The 24,347-nt window shown below is 38.3% G+C and overlaps 1 long non-coding RNA gene across 1 annotated transcript; it reads right to left on the minus strand.

Annotated features, from left to right (window-relative positions):
- Positions 1 to 3,643: 3,643 nt before the first annotated feature.
- LOC105369886 (uncharacterized) lies at positions 3,644 to 24,347 on the minus strand. The gene is made up of 3 exons (XR_945167.3): positions 24,194 to 24,347; positions 23,980 to 24,101; positions 3,644 to 3,715 (listed from the first exon to the last, which is right to left on the minus strand). It is a non-coding gene; the product is annotated as an uncharacterized LOC105369886 (long non-coding RNA).

The raw sequence follows: 24,347 nt of genomic DNA on the forward strand, positions 1-24,347 counted from the left end.
GTAGTTTAATTCTTTTTTGAAAATGAAAAACAGTTGGGATTTGGAGTCTCTTAAGTTAAAATGGATATCTGACCTCGGTTGCATTGTGTAGAATGCAGACCCAATCTACACTGACATTTTGTTTTTAATTATATGACAAAACCTCTTTTTTTATATACCTTTATTCTCTAAATTTACCCATAACCTTTACATTTTTGAAACTTAGAACAGAATTTGGATGATGTATTGTAATCCATCAACTTGTGACGAGATGGAGAAATTATATGTGTATTCTAATCTTTTCCTCACACACTATTTGACCATTTGCTTTCAATATAACTTTAGCATATTTACTTTATATGATTTAGTGAGCCATATGTCTTCACCAGAAGAAAACTAAAACAAAATTAAAATTAAAAATATAATGTAATGACACCCAATTTCATCTTTTTCTGAATTGATTGTAGTGACTTATTATCCTAGTATATTTGACACTGAAAGATATCTGTAGCTGCCTTTAAATTTTTGTGACCCTCTGAATTACTTTCAAAGCAAAGTCTTTTCCTAAGGAAGAACAGATGTGGATCTAGATCTAAATCTAGGTATGTCTTTGAGGAGTTCTCTCTTTGGGCCTCTCCTTCCTAATATCTAGCTCAGAGTAATGTCTCTGGGAAAGAATCAAGCTTGACAATTTCCATGGTGACACCATTCCTTCTCTAAAAACCTTTATGAAAAAAAGTGTCCTTGAAGCCAACTCCATGGTAAGCTTGGAAAAAAACAGAGGCTGAGCTGCTTAAATAATGAAGCAAGGTCATCCTCTGTTTCCTTAGAAAATGTTTTTATTACTCTGAAAGGAACTTTGGAATTGAATCAAAAAATGAATTGCAGCCCCTCCCAGCTTAGAAGTTGTATTTAGATTATCAAAAAGACTTAGCTAGTGTTAGTGAAATTAAAATGGGGAATATGCAGTGCCAGTTCAATATAAAATCTATATAAGTTGCCATAAGTAAATCATATATTAATACTTATTCACATATCTTGTAAGATTTATTTATATTACATATATTATTAGAATAGTGACATTAGAAAGTGATCTAACCTCAATAGTTGTAGAAGAATCAGATGCAGATTTTAGTATGAAATGATTTAATCATGTGTGCATTCTCAAAGTTTTGTTTTCCACATTCTCTCCTTATATTGTCAAAATTTGTTTGACAAGTACATGATAATAAAATACAAAATAAAGTCACAGTAATACTATCAATTTAACTTTTCATTTCTAATTGTACTGTTTGACATGTCATTATAGTTAATTTTTGTCAGACAAATGCACAGATAATAAAATGAATGCACTATTTTATGTTGCTTGTTAATACAAAAAAGTGAATTCATTGGAAAATATTCCAGATAATCAGAAACTAAAATATTGGGGAAAAAAAAACCCAGCTATTTGTAGAATTCTATATTTTCTCTCTCACTCATTCTTTTTCCCTTTTTTTTTCAAATAATTGTTGTCTTCTCAATGAATCTCATATATTACTCCTGCTTTGAAAACTAGCTTTAGGCACATTCCAAAATAATTCTGCACTTAGATAATCATTAACAAATGTTACCCGAGCCTGACCTTTCTGGCCAGACAGCCAGCAAGAGATAATTTTTTTTTTTTTTGAGACAGAGTCTTGCTCTGTCACCCAGGCTGAGTGCAGTGGCGCGATCTCGGCTCACTGCAAGCTCTGCCTCCCGGGTTCATGCCATTCTCCTGCCTCAGCCTCCCGAGTAGCTGGGACTACAGGCGCCCTCCACCATGCCCAGTTAATTTTTTTTTTTGGATTTTTAGTAGAGATAAATGTTTTATGAGACTTCGTCTTTTAAAGAGACTACATCCACCCTCAGGCACCTATACCCCTGGAACCTTTCTTTTTGTACAAACCTGTGTCTTTCTTTGCATTTCAAAATGAAATGATTCATGTTGATTTAAAGATTTTCTAAATGTTGGTACAACTATAGGTTTGATACAGTGAGTCTCTTTTGCCTACCACATATTCCCTAACCCTAAATCTAAAATGTGGATTTGAAATGTTTCCCAACACAGCATGTTGGTGGAAAAGGACATGTACTAGAATTAGTCTTATTCACACAAACTCCCTGGCCAAGTTTTGTGAACCTCAATTATGCCAGAACTGGTCTCTTCCACTAAATTGAGCTCCTAGAGCACACAGGTCATGTCTTTTTTATTTCTTCGGAGTGTGTCTGCTTTGCACAAATTAGGTGCTCAACACAACTTGGCTCTGACTGTCACTGCTGGTGAGTTTTCCTCTTGGCCTTGGTTATTTGTCAGACGATTGCATGGCTGTCTAACTGATTTCCTGGTTTCTAGGCTTTTTCTTTTCCAATTTAACTCACATAGCACTACTAAATTGGATGACTGCATTAATTATGTTATTGGGCTGCTCGGCAGCCCCTCCATTCTTGTTGGAATTTCACCTGATTTTTCACATTTCTTCTTAGACTTTTATGTATTGTTTAAAATTTTTACTACGAGTATGTAGTTTTACTTAGATATAATTAAGAAAAAAGCTGTTTTTATTCTGAAAAGATATTCAGATATTCAAAGGAACAAACACCTACTCTAATAAAATAATTCTGAATATAACAGCATCTTTGGTTTCAAAAGGAACGTCATCAGTCTCTGCACTTGAATCTGCTGCTGTAAATGACCAAATATCAGTCATTGTGGGGAGGAGGAGATACCTTCACAGATACACATAAATATACACACATAAAACTAATAGATGGATTTGTAGAAATGCACCTATATATCCATAACTAGACATGGTCTAAGCGATGTGTACCCCCATGCTGACACTAGTTGTGTTTGTACAATAGGATAATTTAGTGTATTTGCATTTATATAGTTTTCTGAAGTGAGTTCATAGCATTCATTAGAGCAGACAACCAAGCAGTGAAAGAGGTGAGAAGCTGGAGAGGCACAGTGGTCAAACTTAGAGGGCAGAGTGCACATACTCAACAGTTATATGCAGCACAGAGGCAGTTGATTAGACTTAAACAACATTAGTAATAATAATAAGAATAATAGATAGCACTCATTGCATTGTCACTTCCTGACACTGAGGTAAGAGCTTTACATATACATTATATTTTCTAATCTTTCTAGTTATCCTATAAGGCAATATTTTAAGCCCATTTTACAAGTGAGGAAAGTAAAGCTTTGAGAGATTAATCTATTTGCCCATTGAAAGCTATTAATTGGTTGATTTAAAATTCAAACCCTGATCTACCTGAAACCAAAGCTCATGTTCTTAACTACTACATTTGATCAGGTCCCAGTGGTAAAGTGGAAATTGTAGCTTAGGCTATATTTTAGAATTAGAAGGATTCATTAGCTAATTGAATAATTTTGTTTACCTATGTGTTATACAATAATAATTATAAACACATGTTCACTCACCTAAAGGTTTATGTTCTTACGATATTACAGCAACTGTATGAGAGAGAGAATTTGTTTTCCATTTGGATTTAGAAGGGTGAATTTGAAATTCTTGGTCTTTATAATTTTTTATTATCTTGAATCAAAGATACTCTTAAGAAAGGTCTTTCAGGTGATTTATCTTAAAACCTTATTGGCACATCTGCTTACCTTGAGTCTTAAATATGCATATTTCTGTGAAGTACTCAGATATGAGAGACACACCCTTCTCCAGTAACTTTATGGGTTCTGCAGAAAATGATAACATAAACATTGAGTTTAAACATTTACTCTTTCCAATACTTGGAGAATAAAGTGTTCCTATCTTATTGAAAATATTTCAGATGTCACAGGTTTTCTTTCCCTTATCAGATTAGAGAAATCAGATCATATCTCAAATATTATTTATTAGTTGTACCAATATTTAGAAAACCTTTAAATGTGAAAGGAACACAGCTAGAGGTTTCCCAAGCTCATCAGGCTGTTTCAAGCCTTCTACAGCATTTCATACTCTGTCTCCTCTGAATGGAACACCTCTTCTCTTTCACAGTCTTACTCTTCCCTTTAAGGGATTCCTTTTCTCAAGAAATCCTACCTTGATGGTGAACTCCTAAAGATACGTCAGCTTATTCATTCTTCTTTATGTTTCTGGTGCCTTACACAGTGCCTGGCACAAGTAGATTGCAAATAAGTGTTGATTAAATTTTTAACTGAAAACAGTGTAATTGTCCAAGGCACTATATGAGTTCAGAATCCCAAATTCCCCAATATTTCCTAGCATTTGAAACAACATGAGACTAAAATCCAGCAAAGGTAGGAGTTTTTGAGTCAAATAGATGAATGTGTATTCTTTGCTACCTATATAATTTGAGGCAAGTCATTTAAACCATCTTTCTGAATCTACAAACTGGTGTTATTTAAAGCTGTCTAATAGGATTGATGAAAGGGAGTAAAAGAAAGCATGTAAAGTATTTAACACAGAGCTTGGGACATTCTAGATATTTAATAAAATGCTGTGTTGTGCTGTTGCTGTTATTGTTGTTGTCATTTCTATAAGATCATTCTTATCATTATGCTCATCAGTATCTTCATTATCAAACCTTCTCACTATCAGCAATCAGGAAACCCATTGTAAAAGGACCAGAAATGGAAAATGTTAAAGCATGGAGTCTGCCATTCCCTCTGCATGGGGATTTAAGACACATGGAGAGATGCTAAATGGAAGGCACAAAGGAATTGAGAAGTAGAGAGGAGGTATGCCTTGGTGACTGAGAACAATTAATAAGAGCAGGAGGTTGGAAAATGAAAGACACAGTGTAAAATCAGTTAATTGTCTCTTGACGAGAGTCACTTTTACCTGGAAGAAACTAATGAATGTGAGATACAGTCAGAAAGATTAGATTGGAGTAAGACCTCAGAAGGTCTTGTACAGCAGGTTAAAATAATTAGAATCCATTGACATGATGAACAATCATTTAGACAAATGATTTTATTAGTTTTCTATTTCTGCACAGTAACAGAAATAACTTAGTAGCTTAAAACAATACCCATTTATTATCTCACAGTTTTGTAAGACAGAATTCAGCACAGGGTGACTGGATTCTCTGCTCAGGGTCATACAAGGAAAAAGTCAAAGTCATCTTGACCTTTATCTGTCAGTTGGGTTGGGCTCTTGTCTGGAGGGCTTGGAAAAAGAATCTGCTTCCAAGTTCATTTAGGATGTTGGCTGACTTCAATATCTTGCAGCTGTAGGACTAAGGTCTTGTTTCCTTCCTGGCTGTCATCTGGGGTTTACCTTCTGCTCCTGGAAGCCACCCCTATTCCCTCTCTTATAGCTCCCTCCAACTTCCAGGGCAGCAGTAGAGCAATGAGTCCTTCTTGTGCTTCCAGTCTTTTTGACTTCCTGTTCTACCACCATCCTGAGGAAACTCTGTGCTTTAAAGGGTTCATGTAATTAGATTATCCCACTTAGATAATCTTTCCTAATTACATCTCCCAAATCCCTTTTGCCATGTAAGGTAACATAATCACAGGAGTAACAATAGGACACTAAGGACATGGAAGTCATCTGGAATTCTGCTTACCAGCCGTGTGCAGTGGCTCACACCTGTCATCCCAGTACTTTGGAAGGCCAAGGTGGGAAGATCACTTGAGCCCAGGAGTTTAAGACTAGTCTGGACAACATAGAAAGAACTGGTCTCTACAGAATTTTTTTTTTAAATTAGCTGGGCATGGTGGCACACACCTGTAGTCCCAGATACTTAGGGGGCTGAGGTGGGAGGATTGATTGAGCCCAAGAGTTAGAGGCTACAGTGAGCTGTAATCATGCCACTGCAGTGCAGCCGGAGTGATAGAGCAAGATCTTGCCTCTAAAATAAATAAATAAGCAAGTAAATAAATAAATAAATAAATAAAAAGTCTTCTGCTTAGCTTACCACAATGATCCTTGCAATGATGTACAGGATTGTAAAAGAAAGTTCCTAAATGCTTGAGGACCACTCAGGAGCTATTCTGGCAATTTGAGCTGAGGTGTTAAAAAGTTCTAGTTAGCTAGTAATCACAGCTTGCTATGCACTATACCTTGTTTATGATTTTAACTCATAAAATCTTCACAATGGCCTTATGACATAGGTGCTATTATTTTTCTTATTTAACAGTTGAAGAAATTGAAGCTTAATGAGGTTAGGAAATGTGCTCAACTTCATACAACTTGTATTTTGTAGATATGAGGTTTAAGACCAGAAAGACTGACTCCAGAGCCCAGGCTCTCAACCATCATACCAACTGGCCTCCTTTTGTTGAAGGCTGAGGACCATATGGCAAGCATGAAGACAATATGATTGGCACCTTGGTTCTGTTTGAATCGTCCTCATATTACAAATCTCCACTCTGATTTACTTTGTGTATTATTAAACACGCACCATATATTGTTTTTTGCTGGATTTTTTTTTTGATGAAATATAACTCATTCAATTTTCACAGCACTAGAATTTTCCCAAAATTAGAAATAAGAAAACAGAGCTTGGTTACGTATCTTGTATCTTGTTTCAGGTCTCAGAGCTATGGGGTAGCAGATGTAGACTTTGACCTCGAGTTTGCCTAACTTTAAAGGCTTTTTATTACACTGTATGATTAACCTCAGGACATCAGGCACAGCATGTTCAAAGCTCTGAGAAACAGAAATATGTACTAGCTATAAGCATAGAAGCTGATACCACATTAATACTACCTGTATTTGAAGTCCAGTTCTTCTTATTTGTCTATTCTTACTTGGCCTCAGTTTCCTAATTTTTAACAGAAGGATATGACCTGTTTTATGGTGACTCTGTGAAAATTAATGGGTCATTACAGGTAACACTCTCAGAACAGTACCTGGTACATAGTAAATACTAAAAAATTATGAAATATTGGAAAAGTCTGGGAGAAATGCATGGTATAGACAACTATGAATTAGTTTTACCTGTTCTTTGTGTTATTTGCACGTTTTAAAGTTGGTAGTACCAGGCAATAGGGATGGTTAAATGATATAGCATAACAATGTTGCTCAGCGGGGCTATCTAATTAGGCTAGTGGTGAAGAGAAACTTAATTGTGAGTTGAATTTTGAAAACCTGGAGGGCATATAAAAGTAGCAGAAGGTAAGGGGAAAGCACTGTATGTAGGTCACTTGTGAAAACGATCATAGAAGGCAGTTTACGCTCAGGACAAATGAAGTAGACTTTTTTGTTTGGAATGGGGAAGATAGTGAATAGTGTGTCATAATTCTTGTCAGATTGTTAAGGCTGAAGTAATGAATACATTGAAGCAACTTATATCTTTGTATGTATTTGTTCATCTATCCAATTATTTATTCATTTGATAAACACTCCTAGAGCTCCAAAGTACAAGATGCTATTAAAAACACCAAAGTTAATTACACATCTCACCTTTAAAGGACCGATAAGCTAACAGAGGAAACAAAACATGACAATACTTACAACCGAAAGTGGAAAATTGCGTGAGTCATAAGTGAGGCATGGATAAAGTGCTAATGCTGTTCACAGGCCAAAGAGTTTCCTTCAAGCACAGATAAATTGGGAAAAGTTTGTGGGGATGATGGTAAGTATCAAGGAGGGAATTGATGAAGAGATGTTTGAAATAGGAATTGAAAGGTGGCACGGGGTTTTGCCTTGGCCCACCAATGTGTGAACAAACATGGACTTTCATTAGAGAAACAACAGTGACAATGGAGGTTAAAAAGCACATAGGAGAGACATTTGGGGATAGAATTGATAGAAGTTGACAACAACATGCATTTTTGGCATAAAGAGGAAAGAGAAGGAAAAATTAATTTGAGTTTTGGCTTCAATGACTAGGGAGTTGGTAAGATTAGCAGAAACACTGAATACAAGAGTACATTGGTAGGGAAAGAAATGGATTTTTGTTTTGCACAAACTCTATTTTGCTACCGGGTAGCCAAATTTGTCTAGAATGTAAGATAGCCTGGTTGAATGAGTTTTGCTGGCAGAACGTGTAGCTACTGCCTGATGCATGAGAAGAGGAGTCACCTGACCTCTACATTGGCTCTAGACCAGTGGGTTTTCATCTGCGTTCTGTAAGCTCTTCGGTTATGTAGCAGTGCCTCAGAGGTATGACGGCCATGCAGTTAATAAAGGTGAAAGGGGAAACTATTTATAATTACGTCAGAACAACTGGTGTAAACCGGGACTACCCTGGAGCAACGGGGCTCCAGGTTTATACTCTCTTCAGAGGCCACAGGAGGAGGATGGGGATAATGACACAGAGGCAGTTATTCCTGCAGGGATTCAAATCCTCTGCCTCAACCAGAGCTGCTCTTCTTTCATGTTTTCTGTGGGTGTTGGTTCTGCAAAAAACCGTAATTTGAAAAATGGTTTAGATTACCATAAGAAATGTTGAAAACCATTGGCCTAGGCAATAGTTTAAGGTTCACAAATAAAAAGGTGGAAATGCAGGATGTCTGTTTTTCTGGGGGAAAAAAAAGAACAGCTTTTTTTTGTCCCCCTCTAGCTCACAAGGAAAGGAGTGTTAAAATATTGTGGTAGCACATGTCCTTTTTAAATCACAACTATATTTTTAAACAAACCATTTATTGGTGATGCAACTGTAAAAGGTATCTAAAATTATCATGTCTATATTTGATTCATAAAATTGCATGTACAAACAAATGAATAGATTCTTCCAGACTGTTTAAAATTCACTTGTGAGTTGTGACTTTGTAAGCCAGGTTTCATCCTGGATCACGTTTTTTAATATAACGCTGTGAAAATGAACAATTTTAACAATAGCAGCAAATGTGGTGTTATAATCAGTTGCTGAAGAGCATAAGGTTTCCTTTCATAGTTCACTAGTGTTGAAAGGGAAAAAAAAGTGTCCATGTAACATGTGAATGCCCATACAAAGACCTTGAAAAATCCATAATATATAAGAACTAAAAATTCCATAAAAATAAGCAATGAAAAATTATGCTCTAGAAAATTATTAAATTCTGATTTTAAAAACTTTTAATTCCCAGACTTTGTTTTTCCTATATTCAATTTCATTGAAAATCTGAACTTCGCACCGGGAAAAAATGATATTTTCACTTGGGTCATTTTTAAAAGTTTTTAGATTAATTATATTTGTTTGGTGGCATGACAGATGAAGTGCTACAAATAATTTTATTAACTACTTTGGAGTTTTAAGTTGTAATTTTGTGTTTATGTTTAAAGAAAGTCAATTTAAAATTATGATAATAATATTGTATATACTTCTCCTCTTCCTATTTTATCTTTTTCTTATTTGAACATTTACTAAGTTTGGTATATATTTCTTTCTCAAGTCTTTGGTTTTCAAGTGAGGCAAAAAGATAAGTACCATTCCCTCAAATTGAAAGGCTATTTGTGACAGGAATTCATTTCTAGATCCATTTGGTGAAGAGTCTTTTTCTCACAACTCGAATCCATGAGTCGATAATCTCTCAGAAGTATCAGCAGTCACAATGTTATATTTATTTGTTTATAAGACACTACCTAGAGGTTTTAGAGTTAAGACACAGCCCCTGCCCCTAGGATGCACACAATTCTGTGGGAAGACAGAGAAGTTGATAAATAAACAGGCAATTGCATATGATGGTAAGAGTCAGGATAGGCGTAGGCACAAGGTCCCACAGAACAACAAACAGGGCTCTCCTAACTTAGTATTAGGAAGTAAAGGAAGACTGGGAAGGGAATGTCTGAGCTGAGTCCTGAAAAAGTGAAATTTCTACATAAAAATCGATATAAATAGGGATTCAAGCATTTTAGCAAGTTCAGCCTCATGTTCATTCATTCTCACATCATTGGAAAGGTGGAAGTGGAGAATAGACATTTTTGAGAAAAAAAAAAAGTTCTCCTTAAGCAGCTGTCTCCATGCTGGAATCTGCCATACTGAGACAGCTACATTCTGATAGGAAGTAAAAGGAAGGGTAAGGACAATATTTTAACGGATCACACTTCAAGGGACATGAGATTGAGTAAAATACTCAAGCAGGGTCATGACTTTAAAAGAAGTCAGAGGTCAGGCTGGGTGTAGTGGCTCATACCTATAATCCCAGCACTTTAGGAGGTTGAGTTGGGAAGACGACTTGAGCCCAGGAGTTGGAGACCAGCCTGGGCAACATAGTGAGACCTCATCTCTATGAAAAATAAACAAAATTAGCTAGGCATGTGCTTGTGGTTCCAGCTACTCAGGAGGCTGAGGTGGGAAGATTGAACCTGAGAAGTCAAGGCTACAGTGAGCCAAAATCATGCCACTGTCCTCCAGCCTGGGCAACAGAGCAAGACCGCATAATTTTTTTCTAGAAATCTTGTTTTAAATAAAAGGCAGAAAGACCTGTTAACATTTCACTGCTTCTGTTTGGCTCTGATCAAATCCTTGAGGCCATAATTACAAAGCCTGGCTGCCTGCAATGAACGGGGAAGAAATGTAGAAGCAGAACATGTACAATTTAACCTTCCAGTAAATTATTCTGCCTTTAAGAGCATGGTCCATGGGAAGGATAAACCGAAGGAGGTCAGTCCCAGTTAACAAAGTTGGGAAAGTGCCATGGTGCCCTGGGCACTTGTGGTCATCTGCACATTTCATGATATCATCTTGCAGCCTTTAGCGAGCCTGGTACAGGTCACCAATACTTGACCTGCTGCTTCTTGAAAATGGTCTGCCTTTGGGGATTTATACTTTATGTACTTGAAATCCCCAATGTCTTTGTCTCTTTTAAATTGGCAGACTTTTGGTTTACCACTTTGGAATTATGTTCAGTTAGTCCATGTGTTCTCCAGGTGCCCTATATTTCAAAAACAGAGCTGGATTCTCCACATGCCCATGGGTCAGAAGTGTATACTTCGTTTCCCTACTGCCAAGGACACCTGACTTTTTTCACCAGAATTGTTGTCATTATTGACTCTCGTTATTATTAATAGAATTTTCCACTCTATAGCAATTAAGGTTTTAAGGCTTTTTCACTCTATTATCACATCTGATCCTCATGAGAACCCTGAAAACTAGGACAAATGTTATTATCTATGCCCCCTATAACTATTGTCTTGATCACAGCCCTTAAAAGCAGTAGACTCACTGAGGACTTGTTGATGAAAATTTAAGTTGCTAAAAACATATTTCAGATAACTAGAATAAATTGTACCCAAGTATTTATGTCTTATTTTAGCTGAGGACAAACTATTGCACAGTATCTGAGGCATTCACATATTAATCTATTCAGAACATTACAGAAATTGCCACAAGGTTTCTGAAGGACATTAGTTATACACTTTACCCTGAATCAGATTACATGCCTTTGACGCCAGTTAAAATCTTCATGGCGCAGTTGTCCTCCATGTAACAAAAGGATCACTATGAACTTTTTTCTTGTTTCTTTTCTTTCCTACCCTCCCTATTTCCCCTCCCTCCTCCCTCTCTCCCTTCTTTCTTCCTTTCATCTCTCGTTCATTCATTTGCTCGTTATTATGCTTTATTCTTTCCTTTCTTCTTTCTCTTTCTTCCTTCTTACCCTTTCCCCTCAAGCATATATGAAAAACATCATTTTCTACTTCCAAAGGTCTAAAAATCCTAAGCAATAATAATCTCTAAAGAACTCATTTGCATTAATTTACTCAAAAAGAACAAAACCTATAGTTATATGCTTAGGACTTACTAGGGTTAAAGAATTTTAATTTACTGTTCGCCTATTATGTGTCAGACATTGTGCTGAATTTTTTCATATATTTTATTATTTAAACCTCACAATCACCCTTTGAAATAGATATTACTGTACTCAATGAAACTAAATATATTTACTAATATCATATAACTGAAAACTAACAGAACCAGAATTAAAAATTGGTTCTTGAGGGACTCCAAAGTCAATACTTTTTCATTCCAGAAGTATGTATTGAAAATGGTTAAATTTGAATTTGGAGCAGAAGGATAGAACACAGAATGTTAGAATAGGAAATGACTTTACATTCAAGGTCCCCTTGAATGTAAAATGCTGCACCTCTAAAATTCTCTGCCAAATTATTCCCCACTTTCTACTAAAACAGGTCTGGTGAGGTGTTGGATTATTTTCTTTCAGAGTTCTTCCTTGTTTTGAGCCAAATTATGTCTCTCTTTTTTCTCTGTCCCATCTTTTGACACTGGTTTTTCTCCTGTGTGTAGAGTGATCATATGTCCTAGTTTTCCTGGGACAGTCTTTGTTTATATAAGCTTGTTGTCCCTACAACAAGTTAATACTGTCCCCCTCTAACTCTCAGCAATGCCCTATTTTAGATGACAAATTATATGTCCACCCACCTATGAGGACACATAGATTTAACAGTTTTCCAAATATTTGAGGAAAGTCATCACGTCTCTCATCTCCTCTGCAGGCTAAGTATTCCTGGTTGATGTTTGCCACAAATTACAAGTTTTCCCCCAGACCCCTCACTATGTTGACCATAGAGTTGCCTGGACATTTCTAATTCAGATCTGTTTAACTTAGGCTTCATGGACCCTCAGGGAGTCCACGCAGAGAGTTTGAAATATTATGCGAAATGCTGCATGTAAGAGCGTTGTGTTTGTTTCCTGGGGCTGCTATAACAAATTACCACACTAGGTAGATTAAAAACCACAAAAATTTATTCTTTCACAGTGCTGGAGGCCAGGAGTCTGAAATCAAGGTGCTGGCAGGGTTGATTCCTTCTGGAAGCTTTAAAGAAGAATCAAATCCATGCCTCTCTTGTAGCTTCTGGTGGCTTTCAGCAATCCTTCGTGTTTCTTGGCTTGTGGCAGCACACTTTCAATCTCTGCCTCCGTCTTTTCATGACGCTCTTCTCTGTGTCTCTATGACTTCTCCTTTGCTGTCTCTTTTGTGGATATTTGTTATTGGATTTATGGCCCAACTCAAATTCTGGATAACCTCATTCAATATCCTTAAGTTAATTATATCTGCAAAGATTTTATTTCCAAACAAAGTTATATTCACAGGTACTGGAGGTTAGAACTTGGATATCCATCTCTTTTGTGGGGTACATCATTCAACCCAATACAACATATATGTATTGTCCTGAAAAGTGGCCCATAGGTTTTCTCATACCATAGGCAAAAGTTTAGTAATAATAACTAATCCAGATTGTCACTATCCTGAATACAATATTCTAGGAATCCTTAAGAATAGTTTCTACTGAAGTTATATTGCTTGGCACATAGTAGACAATAAATATTTCTTTCATAAGTGATCGAATTGAATGGTTTGATCATTTTAGAAGGTAATCACTTCTTCCTAAAAATTTCTTACGGCAGACAATGGTTATGTTATATTTGTTTTTGAAGGGTGAATACTAATGATAATTCAAATTGAGTTGATTTATGATTATAGCTACTTGGAGTCACCCACAGTTCAGCTAGTCAGCATAATAGGAGAATCCTCTTGGAAATGAGACTTCTTACTTTCTTTCTCTTATGTGGTTCAGGTGGAAATTGATGAGGATTAAGTTTCTATCCATAAAACACATTAGGTCTGTTGAAAATGACAGATTTCTGTGAGAACGAGCATATATCTCTTATCTATCTCTCTCTCTCTTTTTTTTTTTTTTTTTTTTTTTTTTGCACCAGTCCCTGGTGCCTCTAAGTTTAGACCAGGGATGCTTCACCCTGCATTATTCTTTTTTCTTCCTACGAGAAAAGCAGCTTAGTGCCGCTGTCTTTACTTTATGGCAAAAACCTAACTGAATAAGGCATCACTCCTTTTGAGGGAGTTTTGGTAAAGTCATTCAATTGACAGTTACACCCCAATTAACTCTATGCCACATGAGACATCTTCTTTTACATTAGATGTCCAATTGTGTGCTTCCAATATTCAAGATTCTTCTCTTAAAATGGGACTGAATAGGGGCCTGATTTTAGCAATTTAATTCTATTGTTTTTCTCTTCTCACACTTAATAATTCATGCCTTCAGGAAAATCAGATTCTAGAAAATAATTTCAGGTTTTTACCCCACAGTGGAAAATCAAGAAAGGTAGAAATAAGAAGATATCAGCTATTATAATCTCAGTTATAATAGAGGGATTCTTGCTGATTTCCTAGTAATATGTAAATAGAACTTCTTGGGTTTTTTTCCTCATATCACCTTTTTTATTTTCTGCATAACACTCCTTGAAGTCATCTATTCTTTTTAATTATTTACTTGGATAATGTCTCTCACCCTCCACCAGCACGTGAGCTCAGGCAAGAAGGGATCCTGTCTGTCTCGGTCATCCCCAGTGCCCTGAGCATAGTAGAACTTCAACGGAAATTTGGTAATAATGGAACATAAGGATCAACCCTTCACTGATTCATGGACTCCAAAAAGAGCCATCAAGGAAAAAGCCCCATATAATTATTTAGTAAAGTTCAAACAGATCCATAGGAGACCCAGCAGGTGGGGAAGGGGAAGGGATTCCACTTGCCGACCCATCCAAGGTTGTTAAGGAGCCTCTTCCTGTCCCATAGGTCTTCAGGAGAGGAGGACTTCCAGAGATGGGCCAGTTTTTAGCCTGAGGCCAAAGCATCCTTTGACCACCAAGATGAGCTTTCTAATGGACATAACACAGCATTTGGAAAACCAACTCATCTTACTTGATAACTAAAAATAAGTCATTATTATACCAAAAAAAGAGAGAGAAATGCTACAAAGTTGGGAAGGGAGTTCTTGGTCTTGATTCTGACACTGCTAAAAATATATCTTAATTAACAGCTTTCCTTATAGTGTTCTTCCAGGTATTTGGCAGAAAGCGGTCATGCCAATACCAACCCAGACTTTCCACACAGCTTCAGGAGATCTACTGTACTCCCTGATAGAAGAAACCTATGAGTTTGGCTCCTTCTCCAACAGCACACTTCTTTGTTTGTTTGTTTATATGTTTGCTGTTCACCTACTATGCACCCAGTAGCATGCTAAGCACTGGGGCCTGCAACAAGGGATTGGGGCCACACACTGCTCTCCCAGACCTCAGAGTCTAACAAGGATACTCTATGATTAAGCAAGTAATTTAAACAGAGGATGATGAGAGCAGGGATGGAAGATATAACAAGTGGGATGGAAGACAAAGTAAGAGGCGCCAACCTAGCCTGGGTGCCCAGGGAGGGCCTAGGAAGGCCTTAACTGAAAGGGGCCAAGGAACTGGTCAGGGAGAGAGAAGAGTGTTCCAGGTAGAGGGAAGGGCCCAGTGAAGGTCAGAAGGTGAGATCCAGGGACAGCTGGAAACACAGAGGTCCCTTGTGGATGGACCACTGTATTAGTCTGTTCTCACACTGCTAAAAGAAATACCCAAGACTGGGTAATGTCTAAAGGGAAGAGGTTTAATTGATCCACAGTTCCACATGTCTGGGGAGGCCTCAGGAAACTTACAATCATAGTAGAAGGGGTAGCAGGCACCTTCACAAGGCAGCAAGAGAGAGGGTGAGCAAGAACCAGCAAGCGCCACACTTTAAAACCATCAGCTGTCATGATACCTCACTCACCGTCATGAGAACAGCATGGGGAAAACTGTCCGCATGATCCAATTACCTCCCATCTGGTCTCTTCCTTGACACATAGGGATTATGGGGATTATAATTCAAGATGAGATTTGGGTAGGGACACAGAGACAAACCATATTATTGTGCCCCTGGCGCCTTCCAATCTCACATCCTCACATTTCAAAACAGAATCATGCCTTTCCAATAGTCCCCCAAAGTCTTAACTCATTCCAGCATTAACCCAAAAGTCCACAGTCCAAAGTCTCATCTGCAACAAGGCAAGTCCCTTCTGCCTATGAGCAGTTAAAATAAAAAACAAGTTAATTACTTCCAAGATACAATAGGGATACAGGCTTTGGATAATTACACCCATTCCAAATGGGAGAAATTAGCCAGAAAAAAAGGGGGCTGCAGGCCCCGTGCAAGTTGAATTCCAGCAAAGCAGTCATTAAATCCTAAAGCTCCAAAATAATCTCCTTTAACTCCATGTCTCACATCCAGGGCATGCTGATGCAAGGGGTGGGCTCCCACAGCCTTGGGCAGCTCCTTTCCTGGCTGGGGTTAAGTGTCTGAGGCCTTTCTATGTGCACGGTGCAAGCTATCGGTGGATCTACCATTCTGGGGGCTGGAGACTGGTGGCCCTCTTCCACTAGGCAGTGCCCCACTGGGGACTCTGTGTGAGGGGTTCCCACCTCACATTTCCCCTTTGCACTTTCCTAGCAGAGACTCTCCATGAGGGCTTTGGCCTTGCAGCAAACTTCTGCCTGGAAATCCAGGCATTTTCATACATCCTCTGAAATCTAGGTGGAGGTTCCCAAACCGTAGTTCTTGATTTTGTGTGCACCCACAGGTCCAACACCATGTGGAAGCCACCAAGGCTTGGGGCTTGCACCCTCTGAAGCAACAATTGAGATGTACCTTGGCCCCTTTTAGCCATGGCTAGAGCTAGAGTAGCTGGGACACAGGGCACCAAGTCTTGAGGCTGCATAGAGCAGGGGGACCCTGGGCCTGGCCCACAAAAGCATTTTTCCCACTTTGGCCTCTGGGCCTATAATAAGAGCAGCTGCCACCAAGATCTCTGACATTCCCTGGAGATATTTTCCCCATCGGTTTGGAGAGTAACATTTGACTCCTCATTACTTATGCAAATTTCTGCAGCAGGCTTGAATTTCTCCCCAGAAATTTTTTTTTTCATCTCTATCACATTGTTAGGCTGCACATTTTCCAAACTTTTAGACTCTTCTTCCCTTTTTAACGAATGTTCCAATTTCAGATATCTCTCTTAAGTTCAAAGTTCCACAGATCTCTAGGGCAGGCACAAAATGCTGCCAGTTTCTTTGCTAAAGCATAGCAAGAGTGACCTTTGCTCTAGTTCCCAAGAAGTTCCTTATCTCCATCTGAGACCATCTTAGCCCGGACATCATTGTCCACATCATTATCAGTATTTTGGTCAAAACCATTCAACAAGTCTCTAGGAAGTTCCAAACATTTCCACATCTTCCTGTCTTCTTCTGAGGCCCCCCAAACTGTTCCAACTTCTGCCTGTTACCAAGTTCCAAAGTCGCTTCCACATTTTCGGGCATCTTTATAGCAGTGCCCCACTCCCGGCACGAATTTACTGTATTAGTCTGTTCTCACACTGCTATACAGAAATACATGAGACTGGGTAATTTATAAAGGAAAGACATTTAAGTGGCTCACAGCTCCACATGGCTGGGGAGGCCTCAGGAAACTTACAGTCATGGCAGAAGGGAAAGCAGGCACCTTCTTCTCAAGGCAGCAGAAGAGTGTGTGAGTGAGAACAGGGAAGTGCCACACTTTAAAACCATTAGCTCTTGTGATAACTCACTCACTATCATGAGAATAGCATGGGGGAGACTGCCCCCATGATCCAGTCACCTCCCCCGACCCATTTCTCCCTTGCCACATGGGGATGATGGGAATTACAATTCAAGATGAGATTTGGGTGGAGATACAGAGCCAAACCATATCAACCATGGGGTTTGGGGAAAAAAATGGAGTGAGGGGAGAGAGGTCAGTGGGACCCAGATTATAAAGGGCCATGTAAATCATACGCTAAACATTGGGGGAGATGCAGGAAGTAAAAGCAGTAGCAGATCTGTGCTTTACAAAAATTATTCTGGCTGCTGCTGTATAAAGTGAGACCAATGTGCTGGGGGAAAGATGAGAAGTACAGAGACTAGTTAAGAGACAAGTTGTATTTCTGTTGGAGGAAAGGCACCACTGAGGGGGAAGGCAGAGGCTTTATTGAACAGGATTCATCTCCTCACACCTCAGGAGCAAGATTTAGGTAAAGCTATGCCCAAACAGCAGGCATTGGCCACATGGCAAAAGTATTCTTTCATCTTGGTAGGCAATGTTGACTGAGGATGAGAACCAAGTTCCAGCCCTATACGACCTTGGTATGTGCCCAGGGGCACTGCTCTACACACCTCTGAGCTTTAGCTGCTTCTTCTACTCTGGATGAATCACATCCTTCAAGCTGTGCAGCTAGGCAAGGGCCTAAGGGAAAAGACCAAGATTGCTGTAAAATGTTGATGCCTTTACAGATAAAAGGTGGCAACAACACTTAATAGGATGACTGGCAAGCATGGAGAGACAATTTTGCTCTACATTTGCTTCAGCTTTTTGTTTCCTTTGTCTTGGCTTCAGAGGCCTTTGCTTTCTGCCTTATGAAGCTCCCTTTAAAGCTGGACACAAGAAACATTTTAACAAGAAGCAGATGGTGACCAGGCCAGAAAACCTGATTTACCACAGTAAAGTCATGATCCCCCTCTTGCCTTCTGGAAGCTTCTTTTGTTTAGGGTCATCACTGTAATCAAAGTGGGTGAAAAATGATCATCAGCTGGTTCCTAAATGTGAGCTCTGGTGGCTTTGATCACTCCAAGAGCCTCTAGGATTGAAGACCAGTTGCAGGAAGAAGTTCCAGATTCAATCACTGCTCTGTGAAAGGCTAGGATTCAGCTCCGGGTCTACACTTCTGAGACACCATTTATCACCTCAGAAGCTGCAGTTTCAGAAGTTAAGATTGGTCCTCTACAGGAAAACATTAAATGTTATTTTCTAGGGAAAGCTGGAGAAATTTCTGGAGTTGATCCAATATTTTCAGTCTGTCCTGTGCTGCTGCTCTACTCCACGCTAGAAGATGATGATGGTCAAACTAAGTACAGGTTTTCATGTGGGCAGAGCAGAAAGAACAGGATTATAGGAAGTGACAGTTGTGAAATGGGCAAGCTAAGGACCTAAAATGCTCTCCACAAGTGTGCCCAAGCCCAGCCCAGCTAATTATTCTTATTTTTATTTTTTTTTTACACTGGGCACTCCATGTGATTAGGAACTGTGTCTTACTTATTCAGCTTCATCAGTACCTAACAGCTGCATTTCATTGGGAGAATGGAAAAATGTGAAAGCCTATCAACTCAGGTGCAGGAGATGCCCCTTCTTGTCTCAATGGAACTCCCAAATAAGATGGATGTAAAATTCCATAATGTTTATATCTTCCTGCCAAGGTACCAGTTGTTTGTTTAGATATATGGCTACAATTCAACAATCTTGTGAATTCCATTTAGTCCAAGTATCCGACAGATGAAATAAATATTGTTGTGGACTTGAATGCCAGGGAGAATAGTAGGGTTTTGAGGACTAAACTCTGACTTTTTTTCCTCTCTTGCTCAAATTCCTATCTAAGGGGCCTGGGGAGTCGTGCCCTACAAACCACAAAATCTCATCAGATGGGTTTTATGTAACCCTATATAATGTGGTTTACATTCCAAGCTGATTCTGGCATAACATCACATGAGGGATAAAGAAGAAAATCGAAATATTTTACCCCAACATATTCCATTTTGCCATATTTTGAAATGGCCCTGAAAAGCCATCTTTTGTAGAGGAAAACTTGCATCTGTAAAGACTCTCTATTAACATAACTAAATCTTTCCCCTTCCAGGCCCTCCCAATCCTGAAGAGATTAACTGAGAGTCTAGCATGTTTTAAAGGTCTGAATAGGAAATATTTGCCATCTATTGTCTCTAAAAGTGTCCACCTATGAGACTTCATCTACATAATAAGAACCTTGGTCTCCATAACCCCTATCCTAACCCAGACATTCCTTTCTACCAGTTCCAGGTTTTTAGAGAATAACTTAACTCTTTTGACCAACTGCCAATCAGAAAATCTTTCAATCCACCATGACCTGTAAATCCCACCCCACCTACATGAACCCCCTTCCCCACCCCCACTTAAAGTTGTCCCCTTTTTCTGGACTGAACCAACATATACCTCACATATATTGATTGATGTCTAATATCTTTCTAGAACACAAAATCAAGCTATAATCCAACAGCCTTGGGCACATGTTCTCAGGACCTCTTGAGACTATGCCTCGGACCATGGTCACTCACATTTGACTACAGAGAAACTTTTTAAATATTTTACAGTTTGACTCTTTTCATCAACATTTTTCAAAGCCTTTCCTGGGCTCATTTTCAAGTAAGGGGATTGCTTCCTCAAGGGTTATTCCTCTAAGTGGAATGTTTCTCTTCAAATACATTTTTTCCCCTTAGGTTGACCCAAAGAGTTAAAGGGAACTCACATTGCCATTTTATTATTTCCTACCCCTGCCAATATTTAGTGTCCATCTGACATTAGCACAATCCTAGATATGACTATTTTTTTCTCATTCTGTTCTCTGAAATTAGAGTGTTAAATATAACTGAGTTGTTATAAAAGGTTCTCCAAATTTAAAAAGGCTTTTTTATGGTCTGCAGCGTTCCTGAATCTCCATTCTTATGCTTTTTGAGTCACTTATCAAGAAATTGACATTCTGAAATTGTCTTATTTGTTCTTTGTAAGACTCATGTTAAGCCCCAGTTTGACAGGGCTTACCAGTGGGAAATAAAAACAAAATTCTAAGCTTCTCAACTGACTGAACGGATACCCTCTTGGCCAAGAGAACACCAGAGAAATCTTGGAAGCTGATTTCAGGGCTGGGAGGGGCTGGGAGATCAGATAAGCTTCATTATATCCCCTCCCTTACTAACGGTCATTAGGTTTTCTTCCCCTAAGCGCTAAAAAGAAGCCAGCTTCTTCAGGTAAGCTTACCTTCCCAGGCACAGAACAAAGACAAGATGAGATTTATCTTCCTTCACCCCTTCTCTAAGATGTGTGCTTCCTCTACTCGCTTTCTCTTCATATATTCACCTTATTCTATATAAAATGTAGATTTACTGAGCACTAGCCAAAGTTTCAGTGCTACCTTTTCTTTTTTAAGGAAAGTGTATGAATATGAAACCTCCTGAAAACATCTTTGGAAAAAACAGCCACAGATGCATCTGAGGCTTGCATTTTTCCCAGGTGTGCTCTCAGGCTGATTCAATAAACCTCAATGATTAGAGGCTTATGCCTCAATCACTCATTTTGGTTGTTTCCAGGATACTAAAAAATAACAGTCCTAACTCTTTTAGCAAGTTGATATGGAAAATGACAGTGAAAAGAGCTGTTTGACAGTCTAATAAAATTTAAATATTTCTAATCTTCTCAGCACTTCTCAGAAATCTAGATATCATAGATTTCTGCAGTGATTTGTGAAATTGGCTGTTGGGGAAATAAGGATTGTCAACTCAGGGAAAGAATTACCTACTTAATGTGTTTGTTGAGGGAGGGTGTAGAAACAGGACTTTTAATAAGTATCTGGGAGGGACTTTTTTCTCCCAGCTGTGTAGATCTGTGAAAATAGCCCAAAACCTTATCGCTCCAAGAATGGGACACAAAAGCACCAGATAAAGAGCTTTCCATCAGAAAAGCTCAAAGCCTATGATTTGAACATTCATCTCTACAGTCTTTGTTCTTTCAATTTTTTTCTTCCCTAAAAATAATTAAAAGCAATAACATTTCACTGAATATATTCACAGATATTAAAGAAAATAATTTAGTAAATATTTAAATGTAATTCATTCTATAGGTGCATACTATTCTATAGAGTATATAGTAGATGCCATAATTTTTTCAACCATCCTTGCATTAGCGAAAATTCATGAGTTTTTCTATTGCAGACAAAAGTCCTTCAATATCTGTATATGTGTTCTTACATATTAGCTCTTTTGGGTGATTTTTTGAGCTACTTGTAAGCTTATTTTAAATTTGATTAGTTATTGCATGGATATTTCCATAAAAATTGTACCAACTCCTATCTTTTACAACGTGGCCACGTAAGTAACAATTCTGACCTAATACCAACTATATGGTTTAAGAGACATGGAGGATAGACCCAAAATAACATTTCTCTTATATTAGAGTTTCCGAAGGAAAGAATAGAGAAAATATAGAATAAATAATAAAAGATAAGATAAACATATCCTTGTGATTCCAAAGGGAAAAAGAGATTGCTTAAAAGAAAGGAGAACTACCTCACATCTGAATTCTTGGCTGTGATGTAGGTTGCTAGAAAACAAAGTCTCCAAGGTGCTAAAGAAAAACTATTTAGATCTTAGAGTTCTTTGCTCAGCCAAACTATCATTCCAATGTAAGAACAAAAGAGAATTTCTCTTGCTCATATTTCTGTGAGTGGGTCAGTGCCTGCCCTACTACCATTGTGAGGTGGAAAACAGAAAAGACCTAACAATAAGTTCAGACGTGAGTGTTCTCTGTTCCCCTTTTACCTCTCACACCACAATAAGTAGATGATTATACTTGAAGAAGAAGAATGAGGGAAAAGCATTCCTCTAGGCATTAATACTGGATGGCCTCCTAAAGGGAATGGTAACTTAGTAGAGGGATGGCAAGGTAGGAAGCTGAGGCTGTATTTTAATATGTATATGTATGTGTATCCCAGAGACTCTCTCCCCTCAGGCATGTAGGAAATAGGGTGTAGGGTTTCACCTTCTCTTGAGATATATTTCATCTGCTGTAACTGTTATTTATTGTTGTGTAACAAAATTACCCCCAAAACCTAGTGTCTCAAAACAATAAAATTTTACTATCTCACAGTTTCTGTGGATCATAAATTTGGGTTTGGCTTTGCCGAGTGCTCTACCTTAACGCCTCTCATAGTGTTGTAATCAAGGTGTCAGCAAGAGCTGTGGGCTTACCAGAAGACTCAGCTAGGCGAGGATATGCTTCCCAACTCCCTCACATGTTTGTTGGCAGAATTTAGTTTCTCACAGGCTACTGACCAGAGGCCTTCCTCAGTCCACTGCCATGTGGCCTCTCCATAAGGAAGCTCAGCACTTGACAAATGACTTCCATCAGATTGGGCAAGTGAGAGAGCAATAAAGGACAGAACTTAGTTTTTAAATAATCAAATTCTGAGAATATTCCATGCCATATTCTCACTAGAAACAAGTTGCTAGGTCTAGCCCACACTCAAGGAGAGGAGATTACACAAATGTGAGAATACTGGAGGCAGATGTCAATCACTGGCAGCCATCTTACAGTCTGCCTGCCACACTTGCTATTGTAAGCTTCTACCCCTAGGAAAATATAAGCATACAGAGAAAATAAGAAGAATCTGAGGAGTTCAACAGAAGAGAAAGCCAACAAACCAAAGAGCTTATATCACAAGAAAAACAATGGATCAGAGAGAACGAGGATGTAAAATAAGCTTAGTATCTTTAAACAACTAAGAGCAGACATTGGTAAATATGAAGCAGAAAACAAACATTTATAAAAATAACCAATTGGTTTTGAAAAATGTGAGAGTTGAAAGAATCCCATATGTGGGATTTATATCAAAATGGATACAGCTCAAAATGAATGCATAGGTTTAAAGAATTGATGGACATAACTATCCAAATGGCATTATGGAATGACAGAAATGGAAAATATAAGAGAAGACTTGAGAGATTAAGAAAGTATTCATACTTGAATAATAGGAATCACAGAAGGAAAACTGTATAAATAGAAGGGAATAAGTATTTGAAGAAACAATGAGTAAGAATTTCCCTGAATTGTTTCTAAAAATGTAACTCAAATGTTTCCTCAGTCCTCCTAGTGAGTCCATAAAACATTTAGAACTCTGTAATTAACTGAAACTAGCTAAAGAGAATTTTGTTCTTAGTAACAAATGCTGGATAACATTATGATAATTGCCAGTAGAATACAAGAGAATATATAACTTTAAGATTAGCATAAGAAGAGTTAATCTACCCAATGGAAGGCAGAAAAGGAGAAAAGGATTGAAAATAGAAAACACAAAATAAGATAGAATGTTGTCATGGTTATCTGTTGCTGAGTAGCAAACTACCCCCAAAACTTAGTGACTTAAAACAACCATTTATTATCTCACAGTTTTGTGGGTCAGAGATTTGGGCAAGACCCCCTGGATGATGCCTTTATTCAACATAGTATTAAATGGGGTCACTACCTGGTATTTAATAGTAGAAAGGTTGGTCTGCATCACACAAGACAGCTTCACTCACATGCCTGGTGCCTTGGCAGAGATGGCTACAAGATTAGACCCAACTGGGGCTGTCAACTGGAATGCCTACCTGTGGCCTCCCCAGCATTGCCATTTCAGGGTAGGTAAACTTCTTACATACATGGTATTTCAGGACTCCCACAGAGGACAATCTAAGGCAGTAGAAAATGCCAGTTTCTTAAGGCCTGGGTTCTGAAACAAGCACAGTGTCAATTCTGCCATATTCTATTAGCCAAATATCTCACAGAGCCCACCCAGAACTGAGGTAAGGAACTTGCATCTACCTCTTCGTGGGAGGAGTGTCCATGAATTTTTGTCCACTTTTGATCTGCCACACATGAGTTAAGACACAATATTGATTAAGGAAGACAGAAGGTCTGTATTACAAAAACTTCCACGGCATATGTATGTTTCAGTAGTACACATATGTCCAAGGCC

The sequence above is a fragment of the Homo sapiens genome, chromosome 12 (assembly GCF_000001405.40).
Source record: "Homo sapiens chromosome 12, GRCh38.p14 Primary Assembly".
In the NCBI taxonomy this organism is placed as follows: domain Eukaryota; kingdom Metazoa; phylum Chordata; class Mammalia; order Primates; family Hominidae; genus Homo; species Homo sapiens.